The following is a 16,869-nucleotide window of genomic DNA, read 5'->3' on the forward strand; positions in this document are numbered from 1 at the left end:
TCTCCACCTCCTGGGGCAGGGGCCAATCTGCTCTCCAAGTGATTCTCTTTCCTCATAAGAAAGGTGGGGATAAAAACACCCCTCTGGGAGCCTCTGGACTCCCCGTGAGTTCTGCAAGGACCATGTATCACTTGTAACATCAGAATAAATATAAGTACAAAGTAACACCCATCCTCTCCCTGCCCATCAAGAGGACAAAGGCTCAACTGGGGCCTCAGTTTCCCTACTAGACTGAGGGGGAGCACTCGGGGGGATGGGGGGCTGTTCCCACAGGAAGGAGAGACTCATTGTTTGGGAGGCATGGCTGCAGATAAGCAGGGAGGGTGTGGAATCACATCCAGGGCTGCTTTATAAACACGGATTGATGACACATTATGCCCCCACCCCGGGAAGCGGCACACAGTGCTACAAACAGCTGGTGGCTTCCAGCCGGCTGATGGCCCCTCCCTCCCCAGGAAGTCCTGGCTGGGGCCCATGGGGGTGGGACGGCTGGTCAGAGGAGGAGAGGCAGTTGGAGACCAGGTCCTGCCCTGTTAGCCTTTCTGTAGGACCAGGTGTCACACTCATCTGAGGGCTCCAGACACATGGCCTGTGCGTCTGTCCTGCCCAGCGTCTCCCACCTGACGCGGCCAGGTGCCCAGTTGCTCTTCAAGGCCTTTTCAGGTGCTCCTTTCCAGGACCAGGGTCACAGAAGTCAAAGCTCAGGAAAAGCCCCTCGAGGGTTTTTGTGCGGCAGAGGTGGGTTGTGGGGTGGGATTGTGCCTGCCACAGTGGAGGGGCCCTGCAGACCCAGATAAACCTTCAAGTGGCCAGAAGCGGGGGATGGCTCTGCTGGGTGCTGGGGCTGCCATGGGCCGTGGGAGCCAGCAGTGTGCCCAGCTCCCTCAGGGCCCGTCCCCTAGGCCCTTCCGTCCACTGGGCCAAGCACCGTCCCTGCCCCTCCCTAGGGGCATGGATCTGACTTGAGAGGTTGTGAGAGCTTACAGGCGCTGGGCCGTCGGGGAGGCCTCAGAAGCGTAGGACGGCTGCGCACTGCCGGGCCGTGTTCAGCCCTGGTCTGGCCTCGGCCTCTAGAGGAGGCTGCCTGCGCTCCAGCAGGCCCAACCCAGAACGTGGGCGAGCTCCCTTCAGCATCCCTGGGCGGAAAGAGGGATGGGGGCTCTGCTGCAGAGGCAGAATCCGCGCCGCTCCCTCCTTCCTTCCCCCGACCAGCCTGTGACAACCCCGGCCAGGGGCGGGGGCCTCCGCACAAGCCTGGCGTCCACTTCCTGGATAAGGACTCCCCGGCCCACTCCGGACCAGGGCTGGGGCGGCCTCCCAGGCGCTCACTCCGCTGGCACCCCACCGGAAAACACGTCTGCGGCCCGCCCCCTCCCCCAAAGCACGACCACTCCGCCCGGGCCCCTCGAGGATCCACTCAGGTTCACGACGGGCCCGTCCTCTCGGTGGTCTGACCACCGGCTGGTGGAGTGGGCTCTGGGGCCGCCAGGCGACCAGGGCGCAGGCGGGGGCGGACAGCTCATTGGGAGGGGCGCCGGGGCACAGTGCGGGGCTCGCCCCACCCCCAGGTGCCCCTTCCCCGCTCTCGCCTCGCAGGCACCGCATCGGGCCCGGGAATCGGTCCGGACCTGGCGGTGGGCGCTGGGAAGAGGATCCACCTCCACGTGGCCCGCCCCGCCCCGGGGGCGCAGCCAGTTCCCGGCGCTCACTGCCCCCCTTCTCCCGGCTTCCGTCCCCTTCTGCGCAGGCGCCGCTCCGCCCCGGTCCTAGGGGTGCTTCCGTGGTCGGCGGCTGCTGGGCTCCGCGCCGGGGTCCGAGTCCCACGAAGCCCCGGCCCGAGCCGCCGGATGCCCGCGCGCAGCGGGGCCCAGGTGAGCGCGCGCCTCGGCCGCCCCGCGGAACAGACGCGCCCACCCCCAGGCGCAGCAGCGAGCGCGGCCGCGGGAGCGGGAGTGCCGGGGACGGGCGTAGCGCCCACCGCCCCGAGGGTTCGGGGCAGAGCCAGAGCATAGGCCAAGGGCCAAGCTCGGGCCGAGAGCAGTGGCCGCAGCGCCCGGGGGCTGAACCCACGGCGCGCTGGCAGCGCGGGCCGAGCTGCGGAGACGGTCACGTCAGCGTCCGTTCCAGGCCGACTGGCAGTCTCCGTTCTACATTAACGTCAGCACTCCCGTTAAAAATAATGCATCTCTCCCATGCCAGGAGGACTTAGGTGCTGCTAAAGACCAGCCCTCCGGGTGCTGCCAGGCCGGCGCTCACCCGCCACCTTCATCTTCCCTTCTCCTTTGCCCCAGGACAGCCGAGGATGTGTGGTTAGGTTCCCCCTACCCATGGGGAGGCCAGAGGTGGGAGGCTGGCGGCCTGCTCGGTCTCAGCAGACCCTCCTAGTCCCTCAGGAGACCTTGCCTTTGCCCCACTTGCTCGTTATCCAGCCTGGGCCATGAAGCAGAGGACAGTTAGGGACCCTGAGCACGCGGTGGTCACCCCGGTGCTCACCCCTCCCTGTGTGTCCGACCTTGGCCCTGCTAAGATCCTGTGTTTTGAATTCTGGCAAGGGTTGGATGAAAGGGCAGGGCTCCAGAAACCAGCTCAGACGTTTGCTTGGGACCTGCATGATGAGTGGGAATCGGAGGGCACCAGCCCTGCTGTCCCAGGCTCAGGCCCCCATCTGCTCCCCAGGTCATGCAGCCTGGGCCCCCATGCCGTGCAGCTCGCACATATGTGGGGCAGAGCAGCCACCCTGCCCCCAGCAGCAGCCGTCCATCGTCAGACGTGATCATTTCCTGAGGCCTCGAGTGTGTCAGGGTGTTTGTGCCTCATAACAACCCACAGGATGGTCACCCCCGCTTTGCAGATGAAGAAACCAAAGCAGGTGGTCAGATCCAGTCCTTGCACTTCCTGAGCCTGACCTTACCACACAGCTGTCTCCTATTCGGATGCTTATTTATTTTTTTTCCCATTACAGTTTTGCCGACGGATGGGGCAAAAGAAGCAGCGACCAGCTAGAGCAGGGCAGCCACACAGCTCGTCCGACGCAGCCCAGGCACCTGCAGAGCAGCCACACAGCTCGTCCGATGCAGCCCAGGCACCTTGCCCCAGGGAGCGCTGCTTGGGACCGCCCACCACTCCGGGCCCATACCGCAGCATCTATTTCTCAAGCCCAAAGGGCCACCTTACCCGACTGGGGTTGGAGTTCTTCGACCAGCCGGCAGTCCCCCTGGCCCGGGCATTTCTGGGACAGGTAATGTGAACATAGCAGCGAGGGCCCTCCTGAAGTGCCTGTCACTGCAGTTGTCCCTGAACCCCTGTCCGCTGCCTGCTGGATTGGCCCTCAGTTAGTCCTCCTTGTCCTCATGCATTTAGCGGCTTTGCTCACACTGGTCCCTGCTTAGCTTCATCTCAGTTGCCTGAGGTCATCTGGGAAGAATGTAGAGATTGTCAGTGCTGCTTGCCCAGGGTGGAGCAGGGGTGCCACTGTCTGCCCCCGGCTCTGGGCATCTAGGGCAGGAGCACTTGCACCGTTAGCCTTCCTCACCGGCAATCCACCTCAGTTTTTCCACACGTGGGAACTGTGGCTGTGGCCAGTGTCGGGCTGCCCCTTCCCGCTGTAGTGGCTCACAGTGCAGTGCTGGCTTCCCAGGGCCCCTGCAGCTTAATGTAGGTCAAGGATCTGGGCTCTGCCAATCAGACTTGGAGTAAGAAGCAGGGACTGCCCAGGTCCCATCCTGGTGGGGCCTACGGTGCAGCCTGTCCCCACGAGCAGATGCTCACACAGCCGTGGCATCTTGGCTGGATCTGTTGGGAGCGAGGTGGTGGCGGTGGTCCTCGATGCCAAAGCCCCAGGCCTGCCTTTCTGGTTCTCCAGAGGCTCCAAGGCCTTCCCTTTGTCCTTTAATGAGCCTACTTTTAGGTTATAATCACCAAGAAGAACCAGAAGAGAAATACCAGTGCCAGGAGTTGGGTGCTAAAGGAGCAGACCCTAGAATGTGGGCTCGACCTCATGGAGAACAGAGAACATTCTGTCCCCATGCGGATCCTTCTAAAAGCACCTTAAGTAATGGGCATTTGTGGCCAGGTGTGGTGGCTCATGCCGGTAATCCCAGCACTTTGGGAGGCGGAGGTGGGTGGATCACGAGGTCAGGAGTTTGAGACCAGCCTGACCAACATGGTGAAACCCCATCTCTACTAAAAATACAAAAATTAGCTGGGTGTGATGACGGGCGCCTCTAATCTCAGCTACTTGGGAGGCTGAGGCAGGAGAATCACTTGAACCCGGGAGGCAGAGGTTGCAGAGAGCTGAGATCACGCCATTGCACTCCGGCCTGGGCGACAGGGCGAGACTCCGTCTCAAAAATAAAAAAAAAATACAATGGGCATTTGTGATACAACAAAACAGCACGTGTGGCAGGTGCGTCGTAGGAACAGGGCAAGGGCGCAGCATGGCATCAGGGACCACAATACGTTTGTCTCTATTCAGCATCCTTGTCAGGCCACAGTCATGCCCACTTGAGCCCATTGGTGGACAAGATGATGTCCAGCAGAGAAGAGGGTGTCTCACCCTGTGTCCCTTGGATCAGGGACAGCCCTCTGCCCTCTCCATAACCTCCTAGTGGATGCCCTTGCAGACCCCTCAGCCAGGCTTGGGTCATGCACTCATCCCTAAAAGGGTCACTGCAGTGAGTTGCCATGAAATCCCAGGCCACTCTCTGGGCTGAGGAGGGTGTGGTCTCCCCCAGGAGGCTCTGCCAACAAGGAAGAGGGGTGTGTGTTGGCCATGGGGGTGGGGAGGGGTGAGAGGCCCCAGTATCTGCCACTGGTGGAAATGGTATCAGTGAAATCCTGATCAGAAATTTGGGATGGAAAAGGAAACAATGAGAAAAGGGCTGTGGGAACCTCCTCTCCAGAGTGGTAGTTGGGCCCCCCCAGTGTGCCCCCATGGAGGCACAGGAGTGTGCAGAGTGAAGCCCCTGGAGGGGCATTCCCTCTAAGCTCCAGGGAAGATGGAACAGGGCCACCCTTTCTCCCCTGGACATGGCCTGGCCAAGCCTGGCCTGTTCACTTCTGTCCTCATGGCTCTGGATGCCTAAGGATTTCTGGGCTTCCCGCCCAGGCACTGACCCCTTCTTCCCACCACCCTATCTCCAGGAAGGCCTCCTGAATGCTCCCCACACTGACCCCTTCTTCCCACCACCCTATCTCCGGGAAGGCCTCCTGAATGCTCCCCACACTGACCCCTTCTTCCCACCACCCTATCTCCGGGAAGGCCTCCTGAATGCTCCCCACACTGACCCCTTCTTCCCACCACCCTACCTCCGGGAAGCCCTCCTGAATGCTCCCGGCGCTGACCCCTTCTTCCCACCACCCTATCTCCGGGAAGGCCTCCTGAATGCTCCCGGCGCTGACCCCTTCTTCCCACCACCCTACCTCCGGGAAGGCCTCCTGAATGCTCCCCGCGCTGACCCCTTCTTCCCACCACCCTACCTCCAGGAAGCCCTCCTGAATGCTCCCCGCGCTGACCCCTTCTTCCCACCACCCTATCTCCGGGAAGCCCTCCTGAATGCTCCCCACGCTGGCCCCTTCTTCCCACCACCCTACCTCCGGGAAGGCCTCCTGAATGCTCCCCACGCTGGCCCCTTCTTCCCACCACCCTACCTCCGGGAAGCCCTCCTGAATGCTCCCCACGCTGGCCCCTTCTTCCCACCACCCTATCTCCGGGAAGCCCTCCTGAATGCTCCCCGCGCTGACCCCTTCTTCCCACCACCCTATCTCCGGGAAGCCCTCCTGAATGCTCCCCCGGCGAGCATCTAAGCTCCAGTGCCCCTCCTCCCCAGCCCGTGATACTGACCATGGCCTTTGGCACCACAGGGCTTCGTGGGCTGAGGTGAAGGTAGCCTGGCTGTCCAGCTGACCTATCTGGCCTAAAAACGAGAGGTGCAGGGGATGTGGTTGGTCCCCAGTGCTCTGCTGTTAACTCTGGGGCTCCGAGCAGTGACACAACTGTTGGCCGTTACCAGGACCATGGTCCAGGCTGGGGCACCGTGGGGCAGCTGGGCCTACTGCTCAGAAAGCCGGAGGGTGGGAGCTGAGTATGAGGGTCCCTTGTGGCCACCTCAGCAGCCCAGGTTTAGGGGACTTCACGGGCTCTGGGATTGCCCAGGTAGCTGGTGTGGGGACATCCTTGGGGTCCTGTGCCTTCCGTGATGCCTGGCCTCGTGCTAAATGCTGATGGTTTTCTCAAGGGCACTTGGGAAAGGAGGAATCTGGGGAATGGAGGGTCCTGCTGAGAGGACTTGACCTGCAAGGTGAATCCATGACTGCCGGTTCCCAGCCCAGCCTGGCTGTGGCCTGAGGTATCTTCGGCCTGCGGTCTGGTTGTCTAGCAGGGCTGGAGGAGACAACTGGTGCCCTCAATAGCCACATTCAGCCTCAGCAGGAGCAAGAGAAGAGGCAGGATGGAGACGGGGCAAGGTCCCTGGCTAGACCTGGGCGGCTGACACACCCTGAGCTGGGGAGATGAGGTCCAGGCTGGGCACTGTTAGGGTGAGTGGACCCCCATCCCTTCCCGCCCTGAGCAGAAACTGACTGCCCACAGGTCCTAGTCCGGCGACTTCCTAATGGCACAGAACTCCGAGGCCGCATCGTGGAGACCGAGGCATACCTGGGGCCAGAGGATGAAGCCGCCCACTCAAGGGGTGGCCGGCAGACCCCCCGCAACCGAGGCATGTTCATGAAGCCGGGGACCCTGTACGTGTACATCATTTACGGCATGTACTTCTGCATGAACATCTCCAGCCAGGGTGAGCAGTGCTGGGGCACGGGGGGTTGGAGGGCCGGCAGAGCCCTGTCCGCTAGCAGCCAGGGGACCACTAGGAGGACTGAGGTGGGGCCAGCATTTGAGCGAGGAGGTGCCACTTCCAGGCCAGGCCAGGGTTTCGGGAGCTCTGGCTACGCTGACGGGGCAGGGCTGGTTAGGTTAAAGGGGTAGAAAGGGCCGGGTGGGGCCGGGCGCGGTGGCTCACGCCTGTCATCCCAGCACTTCGGGAGGCCGAGGCGGGCGGATCACCTGAGGTCAGGAGTTCGACACCAGCCTGGCCAACACGGTGAAACTCTGTCTCTACCAAAAATACAAAAATTAGCTGGGTGTGGTAGTGGGCTCCTGTAATCCCAGCTACTAGGGAGGCGGAGGCAGGAGAATCGCTTGAACCCGGGAGGCGGAGGTTGCAGGGAGCCAAGATCGCGCCATTGCACTCCAGCCTGGGTGACAGAGCGAGACTCCATCTCAAAAAAAAAAAAAAAGGAAAGGAAAAGAAAGGGTTGGTTGGAGTGGAGGCAGAAAGAAGGCCGAGGACACAGTGTCGCCTGCCCTTGACGGAGGCAGCACATGAGGATGAGAAGCTGATTGGAGAAGAGGATGACTGCAGTGCTAAGAGCAGCGTGGTCAGGTTGCCAAGGATGGAGCAGTGGGCACAGCAGGGGGACTTAGGGTCGGCGGAGGAGTCGGTGAGGAAAGGGAGGTTTGGCAGGAAGTGATCAAAGGGGTCATGTTTTTGTCAGGATGTGGGACTTGGATGTGTTCTGTGTGAAGGAGCCAGGGCACGGGGCTGTGGTGATGAGGGCGGCCAGGCTTTGACTCATTTGCAGGCGGCTCTGTGGGGGCTCAGTGAGACAACGAGGGGCGTGTGCCCTGCACCCACAGGGATGTAGAGGGTCCTGCTCCTCCCTACTGAGGTGGGTCAGGGTGGGCAGCAGGCACCCCACCTGGTGAGCTGGAAGCAGCGTGGGAATCACAGAATGGACGGGAACTTAAAGGCTTTGCTTGGCCTGGATTTTATCTTGAAATACTTTTGACAGCTGGCTGGTTGAGGGTATCTGCTCACAGGAACGCCGCATTTGCTGGCTTTGTCCACTAGTGCTCGCCCCTGGCTGCTGATGCGGAGCCTCACGTGGCCGCAGCCCAAGAGTAGGGACTGGCTTGGCCACCTCCAGGCTAAGCTTCGGACTCCCAGGTGGCTGGGAGGGCCAGGGGTGCACAGGTGCATCAGAGCAGGTGCTGCCTTGCTGGAGGGCCAGGGCTCTTCTGGCCAGGGTCCAGGTCATCATTGTCCCCAGCCAGGAATCCAAGGGGCCTTTCCAAACCTGCAGGGCAGAGGGAATTCGGGTATCTGTGCTTGAGTGAGCCCCTGGGCCCAGGAGCCTTCGCTTGCTGTCTCTGTTTCTCAAGGGGCCTGGCCTGGTGAGGGAGGGGGCTAGGCTGGAGGAGGGATCCCAAGGGAGGTGAGGGGGCTTTGTCAGCCTCCTCCTGCCCTGCCTGTGCAGGGTGTTGCAGTCAGTCCTTCCACTGAGTCATTGCATGGGCTCTCCCAACATCCGGTGCACACTGGCAGCTGCTCTAAGCCAACTCCTAGCCCCCACCACTTGACCAACACAAACACTGAGTGGGTGAGGCAGAAGGGGAGCGCTGGGGCCTGGCTAGGCCAAGGCTTCCTGCTTCCTGGCTGAATGATCGCACCCGAGGACTGGCTCTCTGGAGCTTCCTTTGCTGGCTTTATAGCTGCTGCCAGTCACAAGACCAGGGGAAGCCAGGTGGAAAGGAACTGATACCCAGCATTTGTCATGTGTTTTTAACAGTCTGGCTTTGTGGGGGCGGCCACAGTGGGGGAGGCCCTGCCTGGTGGTGGAAGCCAGAGGTGCCCACAGGAGGCACACCTCATGGTGCAGGCTTGGAGGATGGCAAGGTAGGCAGAGGGGTCTGGACACAGTGAGGTGCAGCCCCCTCCCACCAGGTCAGACCCAGGAGATGGTGCAGGTGCACAGAGCAGGTCCCTGGCCCAGGCAGGAAGGCAGCTGCACCCTCCCTGCAGCACAGGATGTCTGGATGTGTACTAGGGCAGAGAGGACAGGAGCCTAGGGAGGCTCCACTTCCAAACTGTCCGTCCCACAGGGGACGGGGCTTGCGTCTTGCTGCGAGCACTGGAGCCCCTGGAAGGTCTGGAGACCATGCGTCAGCTTCGCAGCACCCTCCGGAAAGGCACCGCCAGCCGTGTCCTCAAGGACCGCGAGCTCTGCAGTGGCCCCTCCAAGCTGTGCCAGGCCCTGGCCATCAACAAGAGCTTTGACCAGAGGGACCTGGCACAGGATGAAGCTGTATGGCTGGAGCGTGGTCCCCTGGAGCCCAGTGAGCCGGCTGTAGTGGCAGCAGCCCGGGTGGGCGTCGGCCATGCAGGGGAGTGGGCCCGGAAACCCCTCCGCTTCTATGTCCGGGGCAGCCCCTGGGTCAGTGTGGTCGACAGAGTGGCTGAGCAGGACACACAGGCCTGAGCAAAGGGCCTGCCCAGACAAGATTTTTTAATTGTTTAAAAACCGAATAAATGTTTTATTTCTAGAAAACTGTGCCTTAGCCAGAGCTCCTCTAGGTGATCAACCCATGTCTGGAGCTAGCTCTTCCTCCAGGACACGAGAGCTGGGGGCCTGAGTACGTAGCGCCAGGCCCGGTGTGGATGCTGGGGAGAATCATCAGTGTGGGAGCCGAAAGCCCCCGAGGGTGGGGTCCTGCACAGTGGGCCATGCCTCCACCAGCAAGATGTGCACAGGTGACAGGGCTTCTCCAGCCTAGCAGGGCCAGCCCAGGCCCTCGTGCCCCAGATGGTCAGGACCAGGTCACAGCTTGGCTATGAGCCTGTTTGCGGCTTCTGTGGACTGTGGTGAGGACTGGGCCAGGAAAGGCTCAGGGTAGCCTGGGAGGAAGAAGCGCATGGCAGACAGAGGTGCTGGGGAGGGGGCCACAGGGCACTTCACAAATAGAAGGCTGTCAGAGAGACAGGGACAGGCCACACAAGTGTTTCTGCACATTCTTCAGGGTGGCCACAGACTGGGGGGTCCAAGGAGCAGGTGTAGGGACAGAAGGAGGGTCTGAGAAACGCACAGCCCACATGGGCCTTGAAGGATGCGGCCTCACCCAGAGACAGGAGTCCTGGCAGGCCCCCCTCCAGCGTGGAGATGCCTACGCGTGCGGCAAGGACTGGAGGGAAGCGTAGGAACACAGAGGGCAGCAGCCCCACAGCGGAACCACCAGGGGCAAGGACAGCGGGGCTCTGCAGGCTTCACTGGGCCACGGCCAGCCCGCATCCACCCAATGCCAGGCCTCAGGGCCAAGAGGGCTCAGCCTCAGCACGGGGGGAGCCCTGGGGTGGGGAGACGCGAGCGCCCACCTGCGCACCCCAGCAGCCTTCCGCCCTCCGCCTGGGCTCAGGGGAGCAGAGCCTGGAAGACGGCAATGACAGGGTCCTCGTGGGTGGTCACCACCAGCACGCTGCGGAACTTGTCAAACAGCATGAGCAGCTGGGAGCGCCGCGTGTTCTCGTTGTACATAATCTCCTCCAGGTGGTGGCGGCCGCGGAAGTAGTGAAGGAGCCTGGAAGGGATGGGTGGGTGTGAGCCCAACCTGACACCAGCCCCCAGAGGCCTCTGCTGAAGAGCCACTGCTGGGAATCAGCTCTGAGCTGCCCACAGGCCTGAACAGAGCTGGTGGTGAAGGCCAGGGAGGCAGCCACCACAGCCCCCCAACAAGGGTGGGCAGGCCTCCTGGACCCCATGCCCACCACGGTCCCGCTGACCACCAGGTGGGCGGAGTGGGTTCAGGACGGCAGACGGCTGTTCAAACCCAGAGGTGCCCAAGCCTGCGTCCTGATGTTGGGACCAGGGTTCTGCTGGTGGCTTCTTTTTCGTGCTACAGTGAGTCCCACGTAGCTCTGGAGCCAAATGGTCACTGCTTTTTTTTTTCCTTTTTTTGAGAGACGGAGTCTCACTCAGTCACCCAGGCTAGATTGCAGTGGCTCGATCTCAGCTCACTGCAACCTCCCGCCTCCCAGATTCAAGCGATTCTCCTGCGTCAGCTTCCCAGGTAAGCTGGGACTACAGGAGTGCGCTACCACACCTGGCTAATTTCTCTCTTTTTTAGTAGAGACAGGGTTTCATTATATGTTGGCCAGGCTGGTCTCGAACTCCTGAACTCAGGTGATCCACCCACCTCAGCCTCCCAAAGTGCTGAGATTATAACCGTGAGCCACTGTGCCCAGCCTGCTTTTTTTTTTTTGAGACGGAGTCTCGCTCTGCTGCCCAGGCTGGAGGTGCAGTGGCGCGATCTGGGCTCACTGCAACTCCCGCCTTCCCGCCATTCTCCTCCTCCCGCCAAGCTCCGCCTCCCGCCTTCAGGCCATTCTCCTGCCTCAGCCTCCCCAGTAGCTGGGACTACAGGCGCCCGCCACCACACCCAGCTAATTTTTTGTATTTTTTAGTAGAGACGGGGTTTCACCATGTTAGCCAGGATGATCTCGATCTCCTGACCTCGTGATCCACCCACCTCAGCCTCCCAAAGTGCTGGGATTACAGGCATGAGCCACCGCGCCTGACTTTTTTTTTTTTTTTTTTTAATGTCACCATCATTTGGAAGGTCACTGCTTTAGGGTGCTTTCTGCAACTCAGGCTGGCACAGAGGAGGCTAGGATGCAGGTGAGACCTGGACCAGCTGCTCAGAAGAGTTGCAAGTGGTTCTCTCGAGGGCCGAGTGTGGTTCTCAACCGGAAACTCAGTCCCTGACAACCCGACCACTCCCGGGAAACTATGCCCCTGCACTGTCCCCCAAGTCAGGGTGGGGCTGACAGAGACCACTGAGCCACATCACCTTTAACATGGGGGACCCTGGATGCCCGCAGGGCTTACAGTCCTGGGCAAACCCCTGCCAAGTCCCATGAGGGTGAGAACTTGGCACTTAAATTAGCCGGGCGTGGTGGCGGGCGCCTGTAGTCCCAGCTACTCAGGAGGCTGAGGCAGGAGAATGGCGTGAACCCGGGAAGCGGAGCTTGCAGTGAGCCGAGATTGCGCCACTGCAGTCCGCAGTCCGGCCTGGGTGACAGAGCGAGACTCCGTCTCAAAAAAAAAAAAAAAAAAAAAGAACTTGGCACTGCCTCTCAAGGGAAAAGGAACATCTAAGAAGTACTGGAGAGAGAAGAGTCCGAAAAATAGGCATGCCAGGCCCATGGCCCGGCGTCTTGGTGACAAGCCGAACCCTCAGGCCTGGGCAGTGGCACCTGCCCCTACACACCTGAATGCAGAGACTCCATCTCGAACAGGGCCCCATCTGTTCTCAGTGGATTTGGTGGTTCTGTTGCGTACGTCCCTATCCACTTTCTGCCCTGACCCTGCAACTGGCCCCAGTCCCAACGGGTCAACCTACACCCACCTGGCAAACATGCGGAGGTCCTCAGGGTTCTGGGCTGCGGGTACACTGAGGATGGCTGCGCGTTCATGCTCCGACAGGCTGGCCAGCAGGTTCTCCGTCATCCTCTGGTTCAGTGGCGAGTCCCCGCTGGGAAGTAGCTCTGCGCTGGAGTTGTCCATGCTGGGGCTGGTGAGGGTCATGTCATCGCTGCTGGCTGTGGGGGACATGGGTCAGGGTGACCAAGTGGAATTCCAGGACACCCAGGGGAACAGCGAGGGCAGAGCCAGCAGCCAGCCTCCAATGACACCCCTAACTCCTACAAGGGTTAGGGTACATCTGCCTGCAAGCATTCGCTGCTGCCCCACCTCCTGGGTGTGACACGCCCCTCATACGGCTGACTTGGGAAACGGGTAGCCTCCCCTCTGGGGGCAACCTCAAGGGACCTGAACAGAGGTGCGATGTGTGCCCCACAAACACCCCAAGGTGGGCCTGGGCATCCTGTCCCTCACCCAGGATGGAGGACAAAGCACCCTGGGCAGGTGGGGTCCTCACATGAAGCATGAAGCCTACAGCCAGACCTCAGCCAAGGGGGGACTTTCAAAGTCTTCCACCCCCTTCCTTCCCCAAGCCTGGGGACCGGGGACCTGGGACCTGGCAACAGGCTGCTGCCCTCAAGCCACACTGGCCATGACGGCTCTTCTGGGGCGCAGAGGTGTCAGCTGTCCTGGTAGTGGTATGAGATCCTGCTCTGCTCCCAGGCTGGGGCAGAGATTCCAGCACTGATTTGCTGGGCTGGGAGCTGCCCCTAATTCTAGCAAGCCTGCTGAAGAGCCCGGAGACAGAGCTGCCACCTCAGAGTCACGGTGGTGCTAGGAGACAGGAGAGGTGTCTCCACGGGGGACACGAGGCACGTGCATGTGCGTGTGCAGCTGTGTGGAGGCCCCTCATCACTCACAGCACCACCCACGTTGAGCCTCCTGGATGCCACCCCCAAGCGTCTCCCCTGACTACCACAGCGGTGCCCTGGGGGTCCTACTTGGGGAGCCAAAGCTGAGGGCGTTGGGCGTGCTGAGGCTGCGACCGCCGACCCGGGCAGTGAAGGGGACGTCGTCCTCTCGCGGACGGGGCTCCTCCTCGCTGGGTGAGGCCATCAGGCAGACATAGGTGTGCAGCTGGATGAGAAGCCGGCGCTGCAGCATCCACACCACCATCTGGATGAGCTGGGTCTGCGGGTGGCAGCAGGTGAGGCTGGTCCCCCTCCCCACTCCAACTTCCTCCTGGGTGATCAGGGAGCCATGGCCCTAGACATGGCCACAGCACGCTCCCTGTGCTGACGCACAGGCAGAAAGGCCCTCTTCTCAGAAAGGGAGCCCCCAGCTGCCAGCCAGCTCTGCAAGGCCCGCTCACCCTCCTGGGAAGGGAGAGGGGCCAGGGGAACATCTGGATCACACCTGCACAGGCTCCCACCACACACCGGGGCCACCCAGCATCTGGCTGAGGAGCAGGACCTGAGACGTGGAGGCCCCTGTGACTGCTTCGCTGAGCAAACCCCCCACCCTGTGCTGCTGCAGCTGCCCCTCTGCCTCCTCTCTTCTTTGGCCCACTGGCCCTGGAGTTGGACCCAGCCAGCAAGTCCACCTCCACACAAGCCCAGACACTGTTTAAAAAGAGGCTGTGGGCAGGTACCCTGAGAGCAGAAAGTCCTCTCCTTGGATCTACCTGAAAGTCCACCCTGAGCACAAGAGTGGATCCACAAGAAAGCTGAGGCCAGTGACCCTGGGCTTGGGGGTGGAGCACCCCACCCCCACCCCCACCGTGAGAAGGCACGTCCTGGCCAGGCCCTCCAATGTCTCTGGGTTAGCAGGTGGGGCTGGCAGTGAGGAGCAGTGAGGAGCCTTGTGCCAGGTAGAGTCCAGTCCCCATGAGAAAGTACTGCCCAGACTCAGGCGTTGAACAGTAAGGAGTGTGAGACACATCAGTGTCCTCAGATACACATCTGTCTACTCATCTCTGGGAGGGTCAACAAGGAGCTGCTGGCCAGGGTCACCTCCTGGGAGGGGGCTGGGGAACTGGGGATGGGAATGGGGGATATATCCCAGGCAAGTAAGAAGACTTGGTCAAAAGGACTGCAAGATATCCAGACTTCACATGAATTTAAGAAATAAAACAGACGCGGGTGGATCACTTGAGCTCAGGAGTTCGAGACCAGCCTTGCCAACACAGTGAAACCTCATCTCTACTAAAGATACAAAAATTAGCCGGGTGTGGTGGCACACACCTGTAATCCCAGCTACTTGGGAGGCTGAGGCAGGAGAATCACTTGAACCTGGGAGGCGGAGGTTGCAGTGAGCCAAGATCACGCCACTGTACTTCAGCCTGGACAACAAAGCAAGTTTCTATATCAAAACAATAAAAAAAAAGCTGGGCGTAGTGGCTCATGCCTGTAATCCCAGCACTTTGAGAGGATGAGGTGGGTGGATCACCTGAGGTCAGGAGTTAGAGACCACCCTGGTCAACACGGTGAAACCCCGTCTCTACTAAAAATACAAAAAATTAGCCAGGCGTGGTGGCGGGCACCTGTAAACCCAGCTACTCGGGAGGGTGAGGCAGGAGATTGCTTGAACCCGGGAGGCAAAGGTTGCAGTGAGCCGAGATCATGCCATTGCACTCCAGCCTGACGTGCAATCAAAATTAAATAAAATCAATAAACCAAAAATAAAACAGAGGGGCTTCCCAGCACTGGAGCCCAGGCAGAACCTGGCTGACCTAGGCCCCTTGACAAGGCCTGGAGCAACCACTCAGTCATGGCCTGGAAAAGCCACTCCGTTATCTAGACCACAGGAGGCCTCTGAGAAGGGAGCACCAGCAGCTCCTCCCTAAGCACTGCCCCAAGAGCAGGGGTGCAGAGAGTGCCTTTTATTCAGCTGGTACAACCTGGCTCAGCTCCCAGAAACCAAGGGCTCTGTGAAAGACCGCACTGAGAGCTCTGTCAGGTTTAGCGTCTAACGGAGCTGAAAAGCCAGAATCGTTCTCATTCGTAATTTGAGAACGGAAAGGGTTTAACTTTAAGGACTGGTTTTGCCTAATAGATCTGGCACTTACTCAGATACTTCTGGAGACAAAGACTTGAGAACACCCAGCTCGTCTGTCTCCAACACCGTATCCTATCTGGCCCTGCTCTGAGTCTCTGCCCAGAACTCAGTGGAGGGGAGGATGGCAAAGCCACCTCAGCACAAGGCTATGACACCTGCAGCCCACAGGGGAAGCCACTGGCCCTGCCACAGATGCAGGTGCACCAGTTCATCCCACAGACCTGCAGGAGGCCTCCTATCCCCCAGCCACTCCTAGCTCCCAACCTGCCTGCCCGTTGCCCTGATCCAGGCCCACTAGGGTCCTCTCTAGGCTCTCTTGAATGAGGAGATTCTGGGGACCAGTGACCCCAGAACTCATACCCACAGACCCTGTGGCCACCTGAACCATGGCAGGGAGTGAAGACAGAAGCAGAACTCTCAGAGGGTCAGGCCTGGCCCAGTGAGAACAAAACTGCCTTTGCACCCTCATCTGTAGGCAGTCCCCAGTCCCAAAGGGGTACAAGGCAGGTCTGTAGGCCCAGAAAAGGTAAGCACTCTCCTGCTTAACTCGGTTCTAACACTAAAAACTGCCTGCCACAGCCAGGGTGGGCTCTATGGGGAGGGAACAACTGCTCAAGTGTTGGGTCACTGGCCAAGCATCTGCAGGTGGCCCGGCAGCTGACTTTTGGGTCCTGCTGGGCACGTAGCACTTGCACGGCAAGCCCCCAAAACCAAGGAGAAGCAGGTGGCAGTGCTGAGGGCTCTCAGATCAGAACCAACAGCCAGGCAGGTAGTGCCTATCCACTACACACCTGCCACTCTGGGCTCCTTGAGCTTCTGTGACTCACCTCCTGCACAGCGGGGGCCAGGGGATTCCTAAATTCTGACAAGGAGACCGGCAAGGAGAACTTGGCAAGAACGGACGGCAGGTCATGAGATGGGAACTGGTGGGAGAACTGCTCGGCCAGCGGGGAGTACCTGCAGGCAGGTGAGCATGCCAGTGAGTGCAGCAGACCCCCCCACCGTGTTCTCAACACTGGCCTCAGTGGGCAGCAGAGAAGCAAAGTGTGGCAGGTGGGTCAGGACAGTGCGATGAGGGCAGAACGGTATGAGGCCAGGCAGGCCTCCAGGTGGACAGAGCCTGGGCACTTCCCCTTGAGCAGCAGCAGGAGCCATGGGCACAGTTCATCCTGCATCTCACCTCTGATCCCTCAAGGTGGATTAGAAGAGCCAGCCTGGAGGAGGGGGCCAGGCATATGGGGGACACAGGAGAGCCACAGAGCACAGAGCCAGACCAGAATTGGGACCTGGGTATGCTAGTGGCCAGGAGTTAGGCTGAAGTGAGAGCCTGGCCTTGGGGCTTCCACAGCCTTTGGTGCCTGGCCAACACAGAGAACAGCATCTGGAGGGCCCTGCCAGCCTCACCCCTTCCCACTCGGGGCTCCAGGCTCTGGCAGCCAGCAGCACTCACAGACATACGCTGGCATTGGGAGACAGCATGTAGACGTTGTTCTCACACAGCGGGTAGATGATGATGGCCTTGCCCCAGTACACCAGATGAGCTGCAAGCTGGAAAACCTGCAG

At 60.4% G+C, this 16,869-nt stretch overlaps 2 protein-coding genes across 8 annotated transcripts in view, besides 6 other annotated features; one reads left to right on the forward strand and one right to left on the reverse strand.

Moving 5' to 3' along the window:
• Window positions 1-544: 544 nt before the first annotated feature.
• Window positions 545-9,384, forward strand: MPG (N-methylpurine DNA glycosylase). 3 transcript variants are annotated; one of them, NM_002434.4, is made up of 5 exons: window positions 1,763-1,871; window positions 2,677-2,869; window positions 2,963-3,238; window positions 6,590-6,794; window positions 8,939-9,384. In NM_002434.4, the coding sequence occupies exons 2-5, from the start codon at window positions 2,831-2,833 to the stop codon at window positions 9,313-9,315; spliced, it is 897 nt and encodes a 298-aa protein (NP_002425.2). In that variant the 5' UTR covers window positions 1,763-1,871; window positions 2,677-2,830; the 3' UTR covers window positions 9,316-9,384. The 3 variants fall into 3 exon arrangements, with proteins under 3 accessions (NP_001015054.1, NP_002425.2, NP_001015052.1); NM_001015054.3 differs by lacking the exons at window positions 1,763-1,871; window positions 2,677-2,869 and adding an exon at window positions 545-663; NM_001015052.3 differs by lacking the exon at window positions 2,677-2,869.
• Window positions 1,344-2,033: a silencer, noted in NCBI's record as "silent region_6900". NCBI's record gives its function as "represses an Ori minimal core promoter by ATAC-STARR-seq in GM12878 lymphoblastoid cells {active_cell/tissue: GM12878}" and the evidence as "EXISTENCE:reporter gene assay evidence [ECO:0000049][PMID:35858748]".
• Window positions 1,548-1,842: an enhancer, noted in NCBI's record as "tiled region #13767; HepG2 Activating DNase unmatched - State 1:Tss, and K562 Activating DNase unmatched - State 1:Tss". NCBI's record gives its function as "activates a minimal TATA promoter and a strong SV40 promoter by Sharpr-MPRA in HepG2 and K562 cells {active_cell/tissue: HepG2 | K562}" and the evidence as "EXISTENCE:reporter gene assay evidence [ECO:0000049][PMID:27701403]".
• Window positions 7,146-8,001: an enhancer, noted in NCBI's record as "H3K4me1 hESC enhancer chr16:133607-134462 (GRCh37/hg19 assembly coordinates)". NCBI's record gives its function as "activates a minimal SCP1, AML or CMV promoter by ChIP-STARR-seq in naive H9 embryonic stem cells {active_cell/tissue: H9 hESC(naive)}" and the evidence as "EXISTENCE:reporter gene assay evidence [ECO:0000049][PMID:30033119]".
• Window positions 8,549-8,608: a silencer, noted in NCBI's record as "silent region_6901". NCBI's record gives its function as "represses an Ori minimal core promoter by ATAC-STARR-seq in GM12878 lymphoblastoid cells {active_cell/tissue: GM12878}" and the evidence as "EXISTENCE:reporter gene assay evidence [ECO:0000049][PMID:35858748]".
• Window positions 8,709-8,828: an enhancer, noted in NCBI's record as "active region_10200". NCBI's record gives its function as "activates an Ori minimal core promoter by ATAC-STARR-seq in GM12878 lymphoblastoid cells {active_cell/tissue: GM12878}" and the evidence as "EXISTENCE:reporter gene assay evidence [ECO:0000049][PMID:35858748]".
• The window catches only part of NPRL3 (NPR3 like, GATOR1 complex subunit), a 53,288-nt gene continuing 45,342 nt past the window's right edge, over window positions 8,924-16,869 (reverse strand). For all 5 annotated transcript variants that reach the window (NM_001077350.3, NM_001243247.2, NM_001243248.2 and 2 more), the window contains 5 exons: window positions 16,757-16,863; window positions 16,134-16,263; window positions 13,251-13,440; window positions 12,236-12,428; window positions 8,924-10,408 (listed from right to left, as the gene is read on the reverse strand). In NM_001077350.3, the coding sequence (NP_001070818.1) occupies window positions 10,243-10,408; window positions 12,236-12,428; window positions 13,251-13,440; window positions 16,134-16,263; window positions 16,757-16,863 (786 nt within the window). In that variant the 3' untranslated portion in view covers window positions 8,924-10,242. The remainder of the gene's footprint in view (window positions 10,409-12,235; window positions 12,429-13,250; window positions 13,441-16,133; window positions 16,264-16,756; window positions 16,864-16,869) is intronic.
• Window positions 11,346-16,869: part of a locus control region, noted in NCBI's record as "regulatory region from 0-65 kb upstream of the HBZ (hemoglobin, zeta) gene; 5' extent approximated based on the cNFG2 cosmid described in PMID:2253879", that runs on past the window's edge. NCBI's record gives its function as "regulates expression of the alpha-globin genes during erythroid development" and the evidence as "EXISTENCE:transgenic organism evidence [ECO:0001131][PMID:2253879, PMID:1425590, PMID:17110138]".

Source organism: Homo sapiens, chromosome 16 (assembly GCF_000001405.40).
Source record: "Homo sapiens chromosome 16, GRCh38.p14 Primary Assembly".
Taxonomy (NCBI): Eukaryota; Metazoa; Chordata; class Mammalia; order Primates; family Hominidae; genus Homo; species Homo sapiens.